Source organism: Homo sapiens, chromosome 7, assembly GCF_000001405.40.
Source record: "Homo sapiens chromosome 7, GRCh38.p14 Primary Assembly".
NCBI classification, from domain to species: domain Eukaryota; kingdom Metazoa; phylum Chordata; class Mammalia; order Primates; family Hominidae; genus Homo; species Homo sapiens.
In genome coordinates, this window is record NC_000007.14 from 116,848,712 (window position 1) to 116,866,102 (window position 17,391).

Genomic DNA, 17,391 nt, shown 5'->3' on the forward strand with positions numbered 1-17,391 from the left:
AGGCAGAGGTGAATGATTTGAGTACCTAAATGCCTGGGGAGGTAATGTGTAAAATGACCATGTATTCAACAAGATGGAGCTGCAAAACCAACGGTCAAATGGAGAGTACAATCCTTGCCTATAGACACTCAAATTCAATTTGACTTTGAAACAAAGAACACTGTGCTGCAAAAATATATGTCTATTATGTCTATTTCACCATAAATTTGTGCCCCCATATGGTTTTGGAACTCATGCTTAGGAATTTGATCTTTATCTAAAAGCATTAGAAAAGAAGCTGCTGAAATAGAAGTAGGGTGGAAAGAGTGACACTATCAGATTTGTATTTTGAAAAACAGTATTTTAGAAAAAAAACACAAAACCCCAAAAACTTCTCAGTAATATTCTTACTGTGATAGATAGTATATCCATGCATCCATGAAACCAAAACAGGATGTTCTTTCCAGCTGCAGTATAGTAACTGAATAGGAGGTCATAGGTAGAGTTGGTGAACAGAACACGTGTCTGATTTTTTTCCCTCACTAAACCCTCTAGAAATAATTTTTTTGGCCAGGTGCGGTGGCTCACGCCTGTAATCCCAGCACTTTGAGGCCAAAGTGGGCAGATCACCTGAGGTCAGGAGTTCGAGACCAGCCTGGCCAACATGGCAAAACACCATCTCAACTAAAAATACAAAGCTTAGCAGGCATGATGGCACACACCTATAATCCCAGTTACTCGGGAGGCTGAGGCAGGAGAATCACTTGAACCCGGGAGGCGGAGGTTGCTGTGAGCTGAGATTGCGCCACTGCACTCCAGCCTGGGAGACTCCATCTCAAAAAAAAAATTTTTTTTAAGTTAACAAGCACACAAAAAACGTGGAAAAAAGGGAAAGAGACAAGAGCACTCGAAATGTTGAGGCCAGAAAGCAGATGGAGGGTTGTAGCCAACTTGGAGACCTCAAAAAGCCAAATCCTAATCTGGTGATGGTGAAAGCCAAGAACCAGCCTGATTTGTAACCACAGAATCCCCAAAGGTCCATGACATGATAGCACCAAGCACCTCTGGAAATGGTGGTGAAGTGGGGCCCCAAATCAGGAGGTCCAGATGAAGGCTGTTTGAGAAGCCAGTAGCTTCCCAGGTCTCCCCCATCTCCTCTGTGCTGCTGAGCAACTTGTCCCTTCTGCACCTGGGCTGGAGTGTGGAAGCAACTTGTCCCTTCCCACCTGGGCTGAGGTGAAGTGTATTCTTTGGAGAGGGCAAAATAAATGGATTCTGGACTGGTGGATACCGAACATAGTTGAGGATTAAAATCTTATACCAAAAACAGGACTTAAGGGAACATGTGGATACTGGATGCTGAGACAGCTTTCCCTCTTTCTCTACTTGGCTTCTAAAATATTCCTAGCCAGGACTTTCAGATCAGGAGAGTCTTCTATGCTATACAATTTCTGACCAAAGCAAGGTGAGAATCATAAAATGGCCCATTCATACCATCTTAAGGTAAAATTCAACTATTTAATCAAGCACTCATAAGCATGAGTCAATAACAAATAACAGGAAAAACTCAGTAGTAGGGTTAGTCAGGACCATTACTCAAAAAGTAGGACCAAAAAAAATACATTAAACATAAGAATGAAAAACATTTTTTTAAATTAGAGCACCAATCCAGGAGAAAGAATATTCAAACAACTGGAGTTGCAGGGTAGAAAAAAAAAAACGGGGAAAGAGGAAGAATGCAAGTTATCAATGAAATAATTGAAGAAATAATTTAAGAAATTTTTTCAAAACAGAAAAACATGATTTTCCAGAATGGAAGGACCCATAGGTCTCTGATATTGTGATGTGTGGCAATAAGAAATGTATATTCTGTCTTCACCCCCTAGTTCCTGGCACAGAGCTTCTAAAACCCTTGGAATTTCCTCAGTGATAGGGGTGAAAGATTTTTTTTCATAATTTCATTTGTAATAAGTTCCTTTCAACCACACCTGAGTTTATGTTAAGTCGGTACCTCTGGGAGGATGGGGCTGGTGGTCAAAGGAACCAACAACCACGTGGCTAGAGGGTCAGAACTTTCAGCCCCACTTCCAGGGAGGGAAAAGGGGCTGGAGATTGAGTCAATCAGCAATGGCCAACGAACACATGGAGGTGCTGGAAGGGTGATATGCCCAGAGAGGGCATGAAAGCCCTACACCCCTTTGCACATATCTTCCCTATACGTCTCTCCCATTTGGCTTTTCCCGACAGGAACTTACCAAAAAAATTCTGGAGACAATGAAGCAGCCTTCAAAATTCTGAACGAAAGTTAATTCCAATCTAGGATTCTATGCCCATCCAAACTATCAGCGAAAAATAAGGGTCAAATAAAGACGTTTTCAGATACGTACAGTTACAAAAATTGACCTCCTGGATATTTTTTCTCAGGAAACTTTTGGGCAACATATTCTATAAACATGAGTAGACCAAGAGCGTAGAAGTCACTGGATGCTGAAAATAAATAGGAAATCTCAAGCGGATTTAACACAGGATACTAAAGGAATTTCCAAGAGAACGAGAGAGGGAGACACCAGATGACACCTATGCACCTAGCAAAGAAGGGAACACATCCAGAAAAAATACTTGTCCAGGTGTGTGGCTCACACCTGTATTCCCAGCACTTTGTGAGTCTGAAGTGGGAGGATGGTTTGAGGTTAGGAGTTCAAGACCAGGCTGGGCAACACAGTGAGACCCCATCTCTATAAAAAATTTTAAAAAATTAGCCAGACATGGTGGTGCACACCTGTAGTCCTAGGTATTTGGGCGTCTGAGCAGGGAGGATCACTTGAGCCCAGGAGTTCAAGGACGTAATGAGCTATAATCACGCCACTGTACTCTAGCCTGGGCAACAGAGCAAGACCATGTATCCAAAGGAAAAAATATGAATTGGAGGGAGGCTAAAGCAGAGGCCGCTTCCTAAAATTGTTCCCCTTTTATAATAGGTCTATGATTCTGTTCTACTTTCAAGCTAGTAAGTTAGCTTGCTTTAGTTTCATGGATGCTAGCAGAAAACATAAGACCCCAGATTCAAAGACAAAGGATTTTATTACTCGTGGCACATCAAGCATCAAGAGCATCAGCATTATTTGCATTAGTTTCTCTCATTCCCGTGCCTCATGGGGCAACACAGATGGCTCCAGATGGAAGCCTGCACACACAATAAGGTGGATTACAGAAGAGAATCCTTGAGCTTAGGGAGCCCCGGTTTCTTATATGGGCAGTAAGCATCCTTGTGCTTTGCTCTCAAGGGTGATGCTATCTTCCAATGCTGTTTGCTATGCAAACTTCCTTTAAAAAGGTAGTCCAGAGCAAAGGGTGATCAGTCTTCTTGAAAGTTGTGCAGGAATGTGAAAGACCTATTGAGAATTCTCTCCCCAACCTACGTACTCAAATGACCTTGTACATTTCTTTCACCGTACTTATCACAATTGCAATTGCATAGTTATTTGAGTGATTGTTTACTATTTGTTTCTCCTCTAAATCATAAGCTCTATGAAGGTAGGGACCATGTCTGTTTTGTTCATTGCTACATCTCCAATGACTGGCAGAGTGCAGATATATAGTAGAAGCACAATAAATGTTTTTTGGAGAACTACTCATGGATCACCAAACTTGAGTACACTAGATATACAAACGAAAGATGAGTAACAGGCTACAGATGTCACGAGGCATAATGTACTTTAATGGTATTCCTTTTTTTTTTTTTTTTTTTTTTTTTTTTGAGACAGAGTCTCGCTCTGTCGCCCAGGCTGGAGTGCAGTGGAGCGATCTCTGCTCACTGCAAGCTCCGCCTCCCGGATTCACTCCATTCTCCTGTCTCAGCCTCTCCGAGTAGCTGGAACTACAGGCGCCCGCAACCACTCCTTGATATTTCTTTACATTTATCTGGCACTTATTTTACAAAGCACCTTTCATGCATTATTTCATGGAAGCTTCACAATAAAACTCTGAATTAGATGAAGAGGTTAAGAGACTTGTCCAAGATCACTGGACTTTTTACGTATGAAACAAACAAACAAACAAACAAACAAAAAACAGGCCTGAAATCTGGGCATTTTAAGCCAATACTTTGTCCTCTATTTTTTTAGTGATAGTGTCTCTGTCACCCAGGCTGGAGTGCAGTGGCACAATCATAGCTCACTGTAATGTCAAACTCCTGGCTCAAGCAATTCTTTCAAATAACTAGGACTACAAGCACATGCCACCATGTGTGGCTAATTATTTTTAATTTTTTTAGAGACAAAGTCTCACTGTGTTGCCCAGGCTGGTCTCAAATTCCTGTCCTCAAGCAATCCTCCAACCTCAGTCTCCCAAAGCACTGGGATAAAGACACAAGTCTCTGTACTTGGCCTTTGTTCTTCTATTTCATAAGACATTATTACCTATGACAATTACGAAGTAGAATAATGTCAAAAGCAAAACTAGGGGAAATATTTTCAATGCTTACTTTAAATGAAAGTTTAAACACCTGTGAAAATATTTCATTTATTTATTACAGTTATCACAGTGAAGATGAAAGAGTAGAATTCAGTTTTCATCATTCTATGAATTAAAAATAGCAATGCTTTTTGTATTTATAAAGCATAAAATATACATCACTTTATTCTCGCAAAATGCAATGAGCTAGGTATTACACGTCTTTCACTTAACAGATGATGAAATTGAGGCTCAGAATGCTTTAGCTAGTAGACAGAAATCACACAGCTAATTCTCCCATGAGTTAAAATATAGATATGTTAGGCTGAAAATATGATGCCTTCTCATAAAAGGAAATTACTTTCCCAAGAGGCAGATGTTCCTTTCTTCAATATCTCTCAAAACCCAAACATAATAGAATACACTCAGTGTATTCTAATATGTTCTACTATTCATTAATCTCTTACTTTGTCTTACTATGATAAATATTGTGAAATTAAGAAACCGTTTTCTAAAATAAGCCACTCATCTAAGAAGTGATTGAAAGCCGTTACATGTACACTTATCTTTAGAATTAGATTTTCTCTGGAAGTATTAAGAATTTGATTAAAAATAAATATTACTAGTTTAACATTGTAATGTGCCTCCAACTCATACTTCAGTCATCAGATAGTCACTGTAGCAAATTAAGAAATACCTAATACAAGTATAATTTTAAAGTTTCCATTTCTTCCTTCTATTCCTTGTTTCAATATGTTTCACTTCTAATTTCATATATATAAATGAAACATTTCTCATTTGTGCCATTTATTTTGCACTTATAAATTGCTTTGTAGGGTTATCTTTTTACACATTGATTTCTAGCCTTTCACAACCAGAATGTAAGCTACTTTAGGACATGGATCATGTCCTATAGTTTAAGACTTTCTCTCCTGTCTGGGCCCAGTAGATCATTGTAATCCCAGCAATTTGGGAGGCCAAGGTGGGAGGATCACTTGAGGCTGGAAGTTCAAGGCCAGCTTGGGCCACATAGTGAGGCCTCATCTCTACAAAAATTTAAAAAATTAGCTGGACATGATGGTACCTTCCTGTAGTACTAGCTACTAAGGAGACTGAGGTGAGAGGATCACTTGAGCCTAGGAACCCAGAAGTTTGAGGTTGCAGTGAGCTATGATTATGCCACTACACTACAGTCTGGGTGACAGAGCAAGGCCCTGTCTCTAGAAACCACAATCACAACAACAAAAACAACTTCCTCCACTCCACCTCTCTGCTTTGCACCTTGTCAAGCTCAATTCAGGTGAGTTCCTGGCTTTGCTCTCTTTATTCCTCTCCCCGTTTAAAGTCACCTGAAAAATTAGCCATACTCTGTTCCCAGGGTTAACCTAACTAAAGCAAGAGTAGATTACCACCCTTCAAAATCAGCATTTTGGAGCTTATCCTCAAAGACAGGCCAGCCCTGATGACCTGGCACCAAGGTTAACAACTGGCCTCCCACCTCCAGTCTGGAGCCCAACGTGGCCTCACGTGTATGACATGCCTTCTGTTCCATTGCTGTTCCCATATTGCTAATCTGGGAATTTTTCATGATGTTTTAGTCATTCCCAGGAAAGAGAGAAAAGGCAAACAAAGTTGAGACTTGCTTTCTCCCCCAGGAAGATCTGGAATGTAAATTACACCTCAGAGTTTTCCTGACCTGAAGCAAGGGAGCTGGGTCTTTTTACTCCATCATCTGGCAGTCATTGGTTAAGAGCTGCGCCAGGGGACCTAAAATCCCAGCTCTGTGCTTACTGGCAAAGCAGCCCCAGACGCACAAGAGCAGTCCTCCGAAGAATAAATACAGGTACTGTGAAGCAGAGGGAAAAAAGCACTGAAGCACAGAAATAGTGAAAGTGATCCCAGCAGATCTGGTCAAAGCACTTACGGTGTCTGCTGCAGCTCTATCCATCAGAAGAAGACCACAAAAACCTGGGCCCCCACAACACAGCCTGGGACAACTGCTGGGGATGGCCAGAGCCTACCTGCAATAGAAGCAGCTAATCCCACAAGGAGAAGATGAGGTGATATGAGCACAGAGCCCTGTGTCCCAGGAGAGGAGCATCAGGACAGATTTTAGAGCTGTAACAACGGGAGAGGTCTGATGAAAGAAAGCTCAGAGATGATAAAGGCCAATGTCAAAGGACAGAAAAGGACAGCAGTGTGAGCAATTTTGAATGCAAATGAATCACTGTGGCATCCCCAAACAGCCAAAAGGAAGGCATTTGTGTGGGTGCTCCTGCAATTCCTTGGGCTTGACCTGAGTTAGAGAAATATAATTGTATTGGAGGTTGGTGTGGCTTGGGGAAAGATAAACCACAAACTTCATTTTCTGCTACACTGCTATCTGCTATTACTGAGTCCAAATAAAAGTTAAAAGTACTGTCAGACATTAAAGGTAAAAAAAGTAAAGATACTGGATCTGTCTTTTCACTCCCTACCAGCAAATCTATGCATTGTGTTGCTTCATCTTTCCAGGTCAAGAGTCTGACTTATCTTTTCATTTATGCCCCACAATTTACACTGCCATATAGGGAGATTTTTAAAAAGACAGTAATTAGTCTAAAGATCTCTATCCATGTTGTTTACAAAAATATGCAAAAAAATTCCTTTCTTTCTTTCTTTCTTTCTTTCTTTCTTTCTTTCTTTCTTTCTTTCTTTCCTTCTTTCTTCCTTCCTTTCTCTCTCTCTCTTTCTTTCTTTCTTTTTTTGAGACAGAGTTTTGCCCTCGTTGCCCAGGCTGGAGTGCAATGGCACGATCTCGGCTCATAGCAACCTCTGCCTCCCGGGTTCAGGCAATTCTCCTGCCTCAGCCTCCTGAGTAGCTGGGATTACGGGCATGTGCCACCACACCCAGATGATTTTGTACTTTTAATAGAGGCGGGTTTTCTCCATGTTGGTCAGGCTGGTCTCGAACTCCCGACCTCAGGTGATCCGACCGCCTCAGTATCCCAAAGTGCTGGGATTACAAGCGTGAGCTACCATGCCCAGCCTCATAAATATTTTTAAAGTTAGGTACCACATTAGGCAGATAAAAAGGAGTGTTCCTGTGTTGAAAAAGAAGCAACATACGTGGAAATGATAAACATGAGATTCAGGTTGGTGGTTACCTGAAGGAAGAAGAAAAGGGAATGGGAACTGGAAGAATTAAACCATGCTTTTTTGTATGCCTGAAATGTTGTGTAACAATAATTCAAATAAGTAAATGAAAATAGAGGCCAGGCATGGGGGTTCCTGCCTGTAATCCCAGCACTTTGGGAGGCTGAGGCAGGAAAGATCACTTGAGTTCAGGAATTCAAGACTAGCCTAGGCAACATAGCAAAACCCCCTGTCTACGAAAAATTTTAAAAACTTGCCAGGTGTGGTGTTGCACGCCTGTAGTCCCAACTAGTCAGGTGGCTGAGGTGGGAGGATCACTTGAGCCCAGGAGATGGAGGCTACAGTGAGCTATGATCACGCTGCTGCACTCCAGCTTGGGTGACAGAGCAAGTCTTGTCTCCAAAAAAAAAAAAAAAAAAAAGCAGAAGAAAATACAAGCTTTAGTATTTCCTTGCTTCACCCTAAAGGATCATTTTGAATACTCCCTGTCCCCTGTACTTTGTTTGGGACATGGTATGAAGATACTAAAGGCTTGAACTTATAGTGACAGGAGAATTAAAGAGTAAGAAATCAACTAGGGAGATATTTAAGTGGTGACTGAATATGGAGTAGTAAAGACTTGGAGATATTGGTATGATTTTGAGGTTTTTGGGAAAAAATTGTTCACTTTCCCATTCTGGAGTCCCCAGTCCACATTTTAGAACAATCTCTAAATCCCGTATGTGTTGCTAAATCAACTTTTCAGCTCTCATTTAGGGATGCGAAATAAAAGTGTCGTTTAATCAATATGCATTCCAACAAAGCTTTTTTAAGCATTTATTTGCCAGACATTGTATGTGCCAGACATGTCCTTAAAGACCAAATTGGTATTATAATATGATGATAATAGCTAATATTTATTGAGACTTTTACTAAGGCCTGCACTGTGTGCTAAGCACTTTGCCTGCATTGTCTTGTTAAATCCTCACAGCAGCCCTACAAAGGTGGTACTATTGTTATCCCTAATGTATAGATGAAGAAATGCAAGCCTGCAGAGTAAGTTCCTTAAGGTTAACTAGAGCTAGAACGAAGATCAGAATCCAGGATTTAGTGATGATAAAATCTGTATACCTCATCACTGGTATATACAACAAAAATCAATGGAAAAGTTTCTATGGTAATCTAGAAGAAATTATTAGCTTAGCTAGAGGATTCAATGAGAGTTTCAAAGAAAACCGATAACAGAATTTTAAAGGATAGGTAGCAAACAACATTCCAGAAAGCTTTGACAGAAGCCTGAGAGCATATGATATATATGCAGCTTTGTGTGTTTCAATGACATATGCATTCAGGGGCAGTGGCAGAGGTGGGTCTGGTGAGGTTGGTAGGAAGGAAATTAGGAAGGATAGCACGTTCGGGACGGAGGAGGGGTTGAAAAAGAAGTGTTGGCTGGGCGTGGTGGCTCACGCCTGTAATCCCAGCACTTTGGGAGGCTGAGGCTGGTGAATCATGAGGTCAGGAGATCGAGACCATCCTGGCCAACATGGTGAAACCCCGTCTCTACTAAAAATACAAAAATTAGCCGGGTGTGGTGGCACACACCTATAATCCCAGCTACTCAGGAGGCTGAGGCAGAAGAATCACTTGAACCTGGGAGGCAGAGATTGTAGTGAGCAGAGATGGCAGCCCGGCACTCCAGCCTGGCAAGAGAGCAAGGCAAGACTCCATCTCAAAAACAAAAAAAAAGAAAAAAAGAAAAAGAAAAAGAAGAAGAAGGTCTTCAATAATTCCTGAGTAACTCTAGAATGATCTACGTCAGGCTTCTCCAGGGGCACTACTTGTGTGTACCTTTTCAAAACTAGCTGAGGAAATGGACCGCAGGTATACACTCAACTATAAATAACTTAAGCAATTATTTGTTTAGAAAGATAATTACTTTTAAAATATATGAGTTTTTACACTTTTCCACAGCCATAAAGGACTTTACTTGAGACCAGTTGTGTTAATTGACCATGACATTAACAAACAACCAAATGTTAGTTGTCTAACACTGATAGTTTTTCTCAGAAGCGAGGTAAGTCAAATTTTAAGCTGCAGATGTTAGTTTTCTGGTGCAGAGATGGTACTATAGAAGTCTATATCTGGTACAATCACTTAATGATCACACAGTAATACTATTATTCATCTTATTTTACATTATTTGGTATGGATATGTACATAAAAGAACATGAGTCTGACCATCAGGATACTTGGATCCTAAAATAATATTAGCTAGATGTGCAATTTTTATTATGTCATTTATTTATCTAAGGCTCAACTCATCTGTAAAGAGAGAGGTTTGTAGTAGATGCACCCTAAGATTGTTTTTCTGTGAAATTGGGTAACCACTGGTCTTGACAAGTTTAAAACGTAGTTGAATAATTCGAGTATATCCATAGGAAAATCGATGTAAAAGTATACAAGTAACTTAAAAACAAACACTATAAAAGGAAGAAAAATTCTGGTGATGTTAATTGGAAAGACCAAGATCAGACCATGAATAAGCAGAAGAAAGGTAAGTTTGGCCAGGCGTGGTGGCTCACACCTGTAATCCCAGCACTTTGGGAGGCCAAGGTGGGTGGACCACAAGGTCAGGAGTTCGAGACCAGCCTGGCCAACATGGTGAAACTCCATCTCTACTAAAAATACAAAAATTAGCTGGGCATGATGGCAGGTGCCTGTAGTCCCAGCTACTCGGGAGGCTGAGGCAGGAGAATAGCTTGAACCTGGGAGGCAGAGGTTGCAGTGAGCCGAGATCATGACACAGAACTCCAGCCTGGGCAACAGAGCGAGACTGTGTCTCAAAAAAAAAAACAAAAACAAAAAACAGCCAAAAACAAAAAGAAGAGAAGTAAGTTTGGAAATTAATTAAGAAAAGGGTAGAAATTCTTAGTAGGTAAAATCATGTATAGGATAAATATTTTGTTTATTTTCTCCTCCTCATAAAACAACTGATTATCCAAGACTACCAGTACATTTTTCCTTGCAGTCATATAACAATAATTTCATATTTTACCTATTTGTGTGACAGCTTAAAATCTTTCTAGAATACATAGGCTACGCAAATTTTAGAATTCCTTTTAATTGTACCAAGAGGGTGGTATTGGAAGATTACTGAAAAGATTATCAGAAATTATACATAATTGTGGGTTGTGTCACTATGGGAAACCACATGTATTGTATCACTAAGGTTACAATTATAAACACACTCTGACTCAAATTATTGCAAAACATTACCATATTTGGGTGAGGTTTCTAGAGGAAGAGAGCAGCCAATTAATCAAGCAATAATATTTGCTGAGTATCCACTGTATACAAAATACTAATATAGGTGTTGCTGAGTAAACAGGAAAAAAGACAGGAAAAAAAACAAAACCAGAAGTACTGCTGATGCAGCACAGGGTGGTGAATTGAATTTACAGGATGGGATAGTAATTGCCTTCATTAAGTTTTATTTGGTGGACAGTGCCCAGACTTAAGAGGAAGAAAGAAAAATCTTGCAGTGGAAAGAACATGAAATATAAAATAAGATGCCTAGGTTCCAATCCCAGCTCGGTCACTTAGGAGCTATGCAATCTTTTTCTTTCTTTCTTTCTTTCTTTCTTTCTTTCTTTCTTTCTTTCTTTCTTTTTTTTTTTTTTTTTAGATGGAGTTTTGCTCTTGTTGCCCAGGCAACCTCCGCCTCCTGGGTTCAAGTGATTCTCTTGCCTCAGCCTCCCAAGTAGCTGGGATTACAGGTGTGAGCCACCACGCCCAGCTAATTTTTGTATTTTTAGTAGAGACAGGGTTTCCTCATGTTGGCCAGGCTGGTCTCAAACTCCTGACCTCAGGTGATCTGCCCACCTCTGCCTCCCAAAGTGCTGGGATCTATGCAATCTTAAATCATTTAGCCTCATTTTTTTCTTCTGTAAAATGGGTATAATGGTACTGATAAGAACCTCACTTGAGGTTGCAGTGAGAAATCAATGAAGCAATGATTTGTAATCTATAAGAGTAAACATGTTAATTTTCATCCAGTGTTACCCTTGGTTAAACTATGTGGTTTATTCTCTTTATCTTCTTCACAACGTTTATCCTCGAAAGGACACCTGCTTTTTTCTGCATGTGTCAGCATGCTTCTCCTTCCTCTTCTCTCCCCAAATGAACCATCAGTTTTTCAATATCATAGCTTCTGTTTGCCGTCCATTCACAAAAAACAATGATTTGCACATTATGAACACCCAATAAATTACTTAATAATAAGGTCTTGCCTCTGAACATTTATTTGATACTCTCACATTTCATTTATGTGCAGCTGTCAGATTCATCTTGCTGCACATATTTCTGATCATGTCATGTCACTGTTCAAAAGTTCTCAACAGTTCCTCACGGAATCTGAACGCCTATCTTAAACCCTAAGGCCTTACCACTCAAAATGTGGTCTCCAGATCAGGAGCACTGGCATCAGCTGGGAGCCTGTTATTCTACAGGCTGTATTCTGGAGAATACAGATTCTCCAGTCTCATGCCACATCTATTGAATTAACAACTTCGTTTTCACAAGATTCCCAATTGATTCATATCTACGCAGCTTTGATTACATGTTTAATCTCTCATAAACTTCAAGCTTCAAAAGCAGGGTTGCTAGATTTAGCAAATAAAAGTAAAGGATGTCCAGTAAAATTTGAAAACAATGAGTAATTTTTTGGTTTAAGTATGTCTCCACTGCTTCATGGGACATACTTTTTAAAAGATTGCTTATCTGCAATTCACATTTGATTAAGTGTCCTATATTTAATATGGCAAACCTATTCAGGAGGGTAGGATCCATGTCTAACATAGCTTTGTATTCCCCTGGAATAGTACAGTGCCTTCCCCAACTGTTTTTGTTTTTTTTTGTTTTGCTTTTTGAGACAGAGTCTTGCTCTGTCACCCAGGCTGGAGTACAGTGGCGCGACCTCGGCTGACTGCAACCTCCGTCTCCCGGGTTGCAGGGACAGGGACAACCTCCGCCTCTCGGGTTGCAATGACTTCTGCAACTCTCCTGCCTCAGCCTCCCGAGTAGCTGGTATTACAGGTATGCGCCACCACGCCCCGGATAATTTTTGTATTTTTAGTAGAGACGGGGTTTCTTCATGTTGGCCAATCTGGTCACGAACTCCTGACCTCAGATGATCTGCCCACGGAGGCCTCCCAAATTGCTGGGATTACAGGCCTGAGCTACCGCGCCCGGCCCCAACTGTTCAATATATGTTTGTTTAATGAGTAGAAAATGAGCTTCTTGAGTATGGAAGTTTCTCTTTTTATTTCAACAGTTTTGGAATACAGGTGGATTTTTGGTAACATGGATAAGTCCTTTAGCGGTAACTTCTGAGATTTTAGTGCACCCATCACCTGAGCAGTGTACCCTGTACCCAATACGTAGTAATTTATCCCCTCCCCAGTCCCCAAAGTCCATTTTATCATTCTTATGCCTTTGAACCCACATAGCTTAGCTCCCACTTATAAGTGAGAACATAAAATATTTGGTTTCCCATTCCTGAGTTACTTCACTTAGAATAATGGCCTCCAGCTCCTTCCAAGTTGCTGCAAAAGGCATTATTTCGTTCCTTTTTATGGCTGAGTAGTATTCCATGGTGTATATACCCACATTTGCTCTATCCACTCATTGGTTGATGGACACTTAGGTTGGTTCCATCTCTTTGCAATTGCGAATTGTGCTGCTATGAACATGTATGTCTAGCTTGCTTTTTTCCCCCTCAACACTGTATCCCCAGAGACTAACACAGTGCCCCGCACCCCGTTAAAGAACCAAAAAATATTTGTTGGATGAATAAAGGAGTATATCAAGAGCAATCTTTCAATTATGGAGAGGGTCGTGATGTGTATTTTAATGAAAGCCAACTATCTTCTCTAATATTTGAAAAAACAATGTTTAAAAGGCTTCTATTTGTACACCTTTTCACATTTTAGCTGGCAGAGTTCAGGACTTGATGGAAACATAACGAAGGGCTCAGAATGTACTCATCGCAGACTGAGCCCATATGGTCACAGTGGGGAGAGCACGCTGCACTCAAGATGCTAGCAAGCCTGCAGCAGGCGGCCCAGCGAGACACGGTCCCCCGCCCGGCCACCAGGCGCCCGCGCACGCGCACAGCCGCGCTCAGTCCGCGAGGGCCGGGTCGAGGGAGGCGGGGCTCCCGGGGTGCGCGTGCGCGGCGGCCTGAGCGGCGGGCCCCTCCCTTAGCGGGGGCGCGCGGCGCTGAGGACCGCACGGAAACGGGGAAGTCAGGTGGCCGCTGCCGCCGCCGCCGCCGCGGTTTGTCGCCAGAAGGAAGATGGCGGATCTGGAGGAGCAGTTGTCTGATGAAGAGAAGGTAAGAGTCGCGGGGGCGACGGCGCGGGCTGTCAGGAGCCGGCTCAGCCCGGGCGGGTGGGCCCGGAGTCTGGTCGCGGGGGAAGGGCATTGGCCCGCAGCTGGCCTTGCCCTCGGCTGCCCTTCCTCCCCCATCCTTACTGCGCCCAGTGCCTGCCCCTGTCCGTCACCCGAGGCCCCGCGCGGGGGCAGGTCTCTGCCAGGCCTGCTCGCTCCGCTCCTTGTAGGGTGTGTACTCCGAAAATAGGAAGCGGGAGCCGGGCGACGGCGGGCGGGGGCGCGGGCGCGGGGGAGGGCGGCGGCTGCCCAGGACCCTCTCCTGCTGTCGGGCCGCGGGGCCTCCGCCGGGGCCGGGGACCGGGGACCAGGGACGCAAAGGGGTTTGCGTCCGTGCGTGGGAGCGGCCCAAGGGCAGTGCCCAGCGCGGCGGCCTGGCCTGTGAGTGTAGCGGCGGGTGAGGGGAAGGGAAAAATCGCTTAGGAAGCAGACCTTCACTTCTCCCTTCTACTTCCCCCTCCTCAAAGCAAAATGCTTCCTTTTCTGATCCTCTACGGTTTATCCTTTTTTTTCCCTTTCCCCATGGAGGCATCTCTCCCTCCTTCTCTCTTTCCTTTCGTGGCTCTAGCAGTAAGCTTGCAGCTCCCATGTTCCCCAGGAGGCAGCGGAGTTGCTCACAAAAAGACGACCCCCTCCCCATAGTTGTTTTCTGCCCACGTTGGCAGCAGCCCCCCCCCGGGGGTCGATTTGGTGGCACCTCACTTTCCTGCTAGGACTTCTTCCGAAGAGGGGAAAATGTGCAACTCCTTTTACTGTATATTAGATGCTGTGACAGCAATGGAACCAGATGAACGACTTAAGTTCTCAGATATTTAAAACGAGTAATGGAATAATTCATTGAACTGCTGCTCTCTTAATTCGCCCCTTTCGTTTGGCTTTTGGGAACGTCCCATTCCCGAGGGTGGTGGGGTAGGGGAGAACCCTGCTAATTTTGACTGTTTCTCGGAAAGGACCCTTAGAAGTAACTGACAGAACATAGGAATGAGTTAGTTGCAGGGTTGGAAATGTCCACTCTTCGTTAAAGAGTGCTTCATTTTTAAATTTCAAAGCCAGTGCAGGAAAATACAGGTACATTTAGGTATGTTGTGGTGTTTAAGAAATCTTCATGTAAGTCTGAGGATATTTTCATTTAGGACCCTCTGCTCTAGATGTTTTTATATGCTGTGTTCTTGCACCGAAATAGAAGGTTCTGTCCCATTCCCAATGTGAATGGTCAGAAGTCAGCCTCATCTTTATTTTCGGAAATCTTTTTTTCTCTTGTGTTCTTCGGTGAAAGTGATAATACAACAACAAAATGGGGGCGAGCAACGTCTCCATAGCCCACAGACCCAGTAGGCAGATCCCCGTATCCACAAAAGTTGCTGTACAGTATTCAATGTATAATCTTGATAAATAATCCTATTTTATTTAGGTGACTGAAAGTGTACAGGAGTGCACAAACATATTTAAAATTGAGGCGTGCTAAAAAGCTTAAAAAGAGATTGTCGTGTTTTTATTCTACCATTCTTAAGTGATGATTAGTAGCTCAAGTGGCTAGAAATCTAGCTGAAGAGAGACTACTCGGTGTGGGAGTTAATATAGACCTGCCATGTGTTGTAAAGGCCTAAAATAAAAAAGTTTTTTAAAAATGAGATAACAAGATGCCTTATTATCTGGCACTCTCAGGGCACTAAGCTTCATAAAGAGGAATGAGGAGGTTGTGTGTCTTAAAGCCTGTGCCGCCTAGTAGCAAAATGTTTTATGGTTAAATGAATGAAAATTCTAATTTGATTTTTGATGTTTTGTAAGAATATTATGTAGATATTTTACATATAAATTTTATCACTATATTTACTAATTTAAAAACTGACAAAACCTTTAGGTTAAATTCAAGTAACCAGTAAAGTGAAATTTTAACGTTCTTGTCACTTGAGATATCTAAAGGTTATTTTCATTTTGGGGGAGGAGGATGTGTCCAGTATGGGATCAGAAAACAGAGAGGACTTAAAAGTGATATTTTAATATTACTCGTTCTACTGCCTTATTGGTAATTTTCAAAAATAAGCTCTTAAGCTGGGCACGGTGGTTTGCACCTGTAATGCCAACTACTCTGGATGCCAAGGTGTGGAGGATCGCTTGAGCCCAGGAGTTGTAGACCAGCCTGGTAACATAGCGAGACCTCATCTCTAAAAAAAAATATTAAGTTTTGAATACTTTTAAGTTTTTGAAATTTCCATTCTAGATTGCAAATTTAAGGAAGAGAAGCTGTTAAGATGTGTCTAGTACCATACTTTATATATGCTTGGCTCAGTTAGATACATTCATTACTTAATTTGTTGTTGTAAGAGGTAGTTCTATTACCATTTCACAGATGAGTAGAGTGAGGTTCAAAAGCTTTAAGTAGTTCACCCAAGGACGGTCAAGATGAAGGTAGTATTTAAAGTTTGTCTTAGTCCAACGTTGATGTTCTTGTGACATTATGCGCTCTCTTCTTTTTTTTTTTTTTTTTTTTTTTTTTGATACAGAGTCCCACTCTGTCACGCAGGCTGGAGTGCAGTGGTGCAATCTTGGCTCACTGCAACCTCTGCCTCCGGGGCTGAAGCGATTCTTCTGCCTCAGCCTCCCGAGTAGCTGGGATAACTGGCACATGCCACCATGCCCAGCTAATTTTTGTATTTTTAGTAGAGACGGGGTTTCGCTATGTTGCCCAGGCTGGTCTTGAACTCCTGACCTCAGGTGATCCACCCCCCTCGGCCTCCCAAAGTGCTGGGATTACAGGCGTGAGCCACCATGCCCAGCAGACATTATGCTTTCTTAAACAAAATTGATAAGAACCTCTTCTGGTTTTGTCTCTTCATTTTTAATTTGTTGACAGCTTATTTTGAAAAAGGAGAAACGTTGATTCTTCCTTAGACAGGGTCTCACTCTGTCCACCCAGGCTGGAGTGCAGTGGTGATCATGGCTCACTGCAGCCTCAACTTCCTGGGCTCAAGCAGTCCTCTCACCTCAGTCTCCCCAAGTAGCTGGGAGTACAGGCAGGTGTGCCAGGACACCCAGCAAATTTAAAAAAATTTTTTGTAGAGACAAGGTCTCACGATGTTGTCCAGGGTGGTCTCACACTCCTGGCTCAAACGATCCTCCCACTTGGGCATCCTAAAGTGCTGGGATTACGGGCATGAGCCATGATTCCTAGCCCTTTTTTAAAAAGTAATACCAAGCAAATAGTGTTAGGTTCTAAATTTTTGTCTTGATGATTTTAGAATAAAGCTTATTATTAACACATTTAAAGGTGTTATGTTACTGATAGGAAGCATTTTAGAAATCAATCTAGAATAATAGTTTTGTTTTTTAAAATCATACACAATTGCTTTTTGAGGATACTACTATGAAGTTTAATAACCTTTTCTCCTTTGGCCA

General features: G+C 42.1%; 1 protein-coding gene across 1 annotated transcript in view, besides 5 other annotated features; it reads left to right on the top strand.

The window, feature by feature from the left end:
- Positions 8,180–8,837: an enhancer, noted in NCBI's record as "OCT4-NANOG hESC enhancer chr7:116496945-116497602 (GRCh37/hg19 assembly coordinates)". NCBI's record gives its function as "activates a minimal SCP1, AML or CMV promoter by ChIP-STARR-seq in primed H9 embryonic stem cells {active_cell/tissue: H9 hESC(primed)}" and the evidence as "EXISTENCE:reporter gene assay evidence [ECO:0000049][PMID:30033119]".
- Positions 13,494–13,543: an enhancer, noted in NCBI's record as "active region_26538". NCBI's record gives its function as "activates an Ori minimal core promoter by ATAC-STARR-seq in GM12878 lymphoblastoid cells {active_cell/tissue: GM12878}" and the evidence as "EXISTENCE:reporter gene assay evidence [ECO:0000049][PMID:35858748]".
- Positions 13,494–14,363: a biological region, named in NCBI's record as "H3K27ac hESC enhancer GRCh37_chr7:116502260-116503022".
- Positions 13,495–14,257: an enhancer, noted in NCBI's record as "H3K27ac hESC enhancer chr7:116502260-116503022 (GRCh37/hg19 assembly coordinates)". NCBI's record gives its function as "activates a minimal SCP1, AML or CMV promoter by ChIP-STARR-seq in naive H9 embryonic stem cells {active_cell/tissue: H9 hESC(naive)}" and the evidence as "EXISTENCE:reporter gene assay evidence [ECO:0000049][PMID:30033119]".
- Positions 13,624–14,363: a silencer, noted in NCBI's record as "silent region_18563". NCBI's record gives its function as "represses an Ori minimal core promoter by ATAC-STARR-seq in GM12878 lymphoblastoid cells {active_cell/tissue: GM12878}" and the evidence as "EXISTENCE:reporter gene assay evidence [ECO:0000049][PMID:35858748]".
- The window catches only part of CAPZA2 (capping actin protein of muscle Z-line subunit alpha 2), a 59,463-nt gene continuing 55,947 nt past the window's right edge, over positions 13,876–17,391 (top strand). The window contains exon 1 of the mRNA NM_006136.3: positions 13,876–13,939. Within this exon, the coding sequence (NP_006127.1) occupies positions 13,901–13,939 (39 nt within the window). The 5' untranslated portion in view covers positions 13,876–13,900. The remainder of the gene's footprint in view (positions 13,940–17,391) is intronic.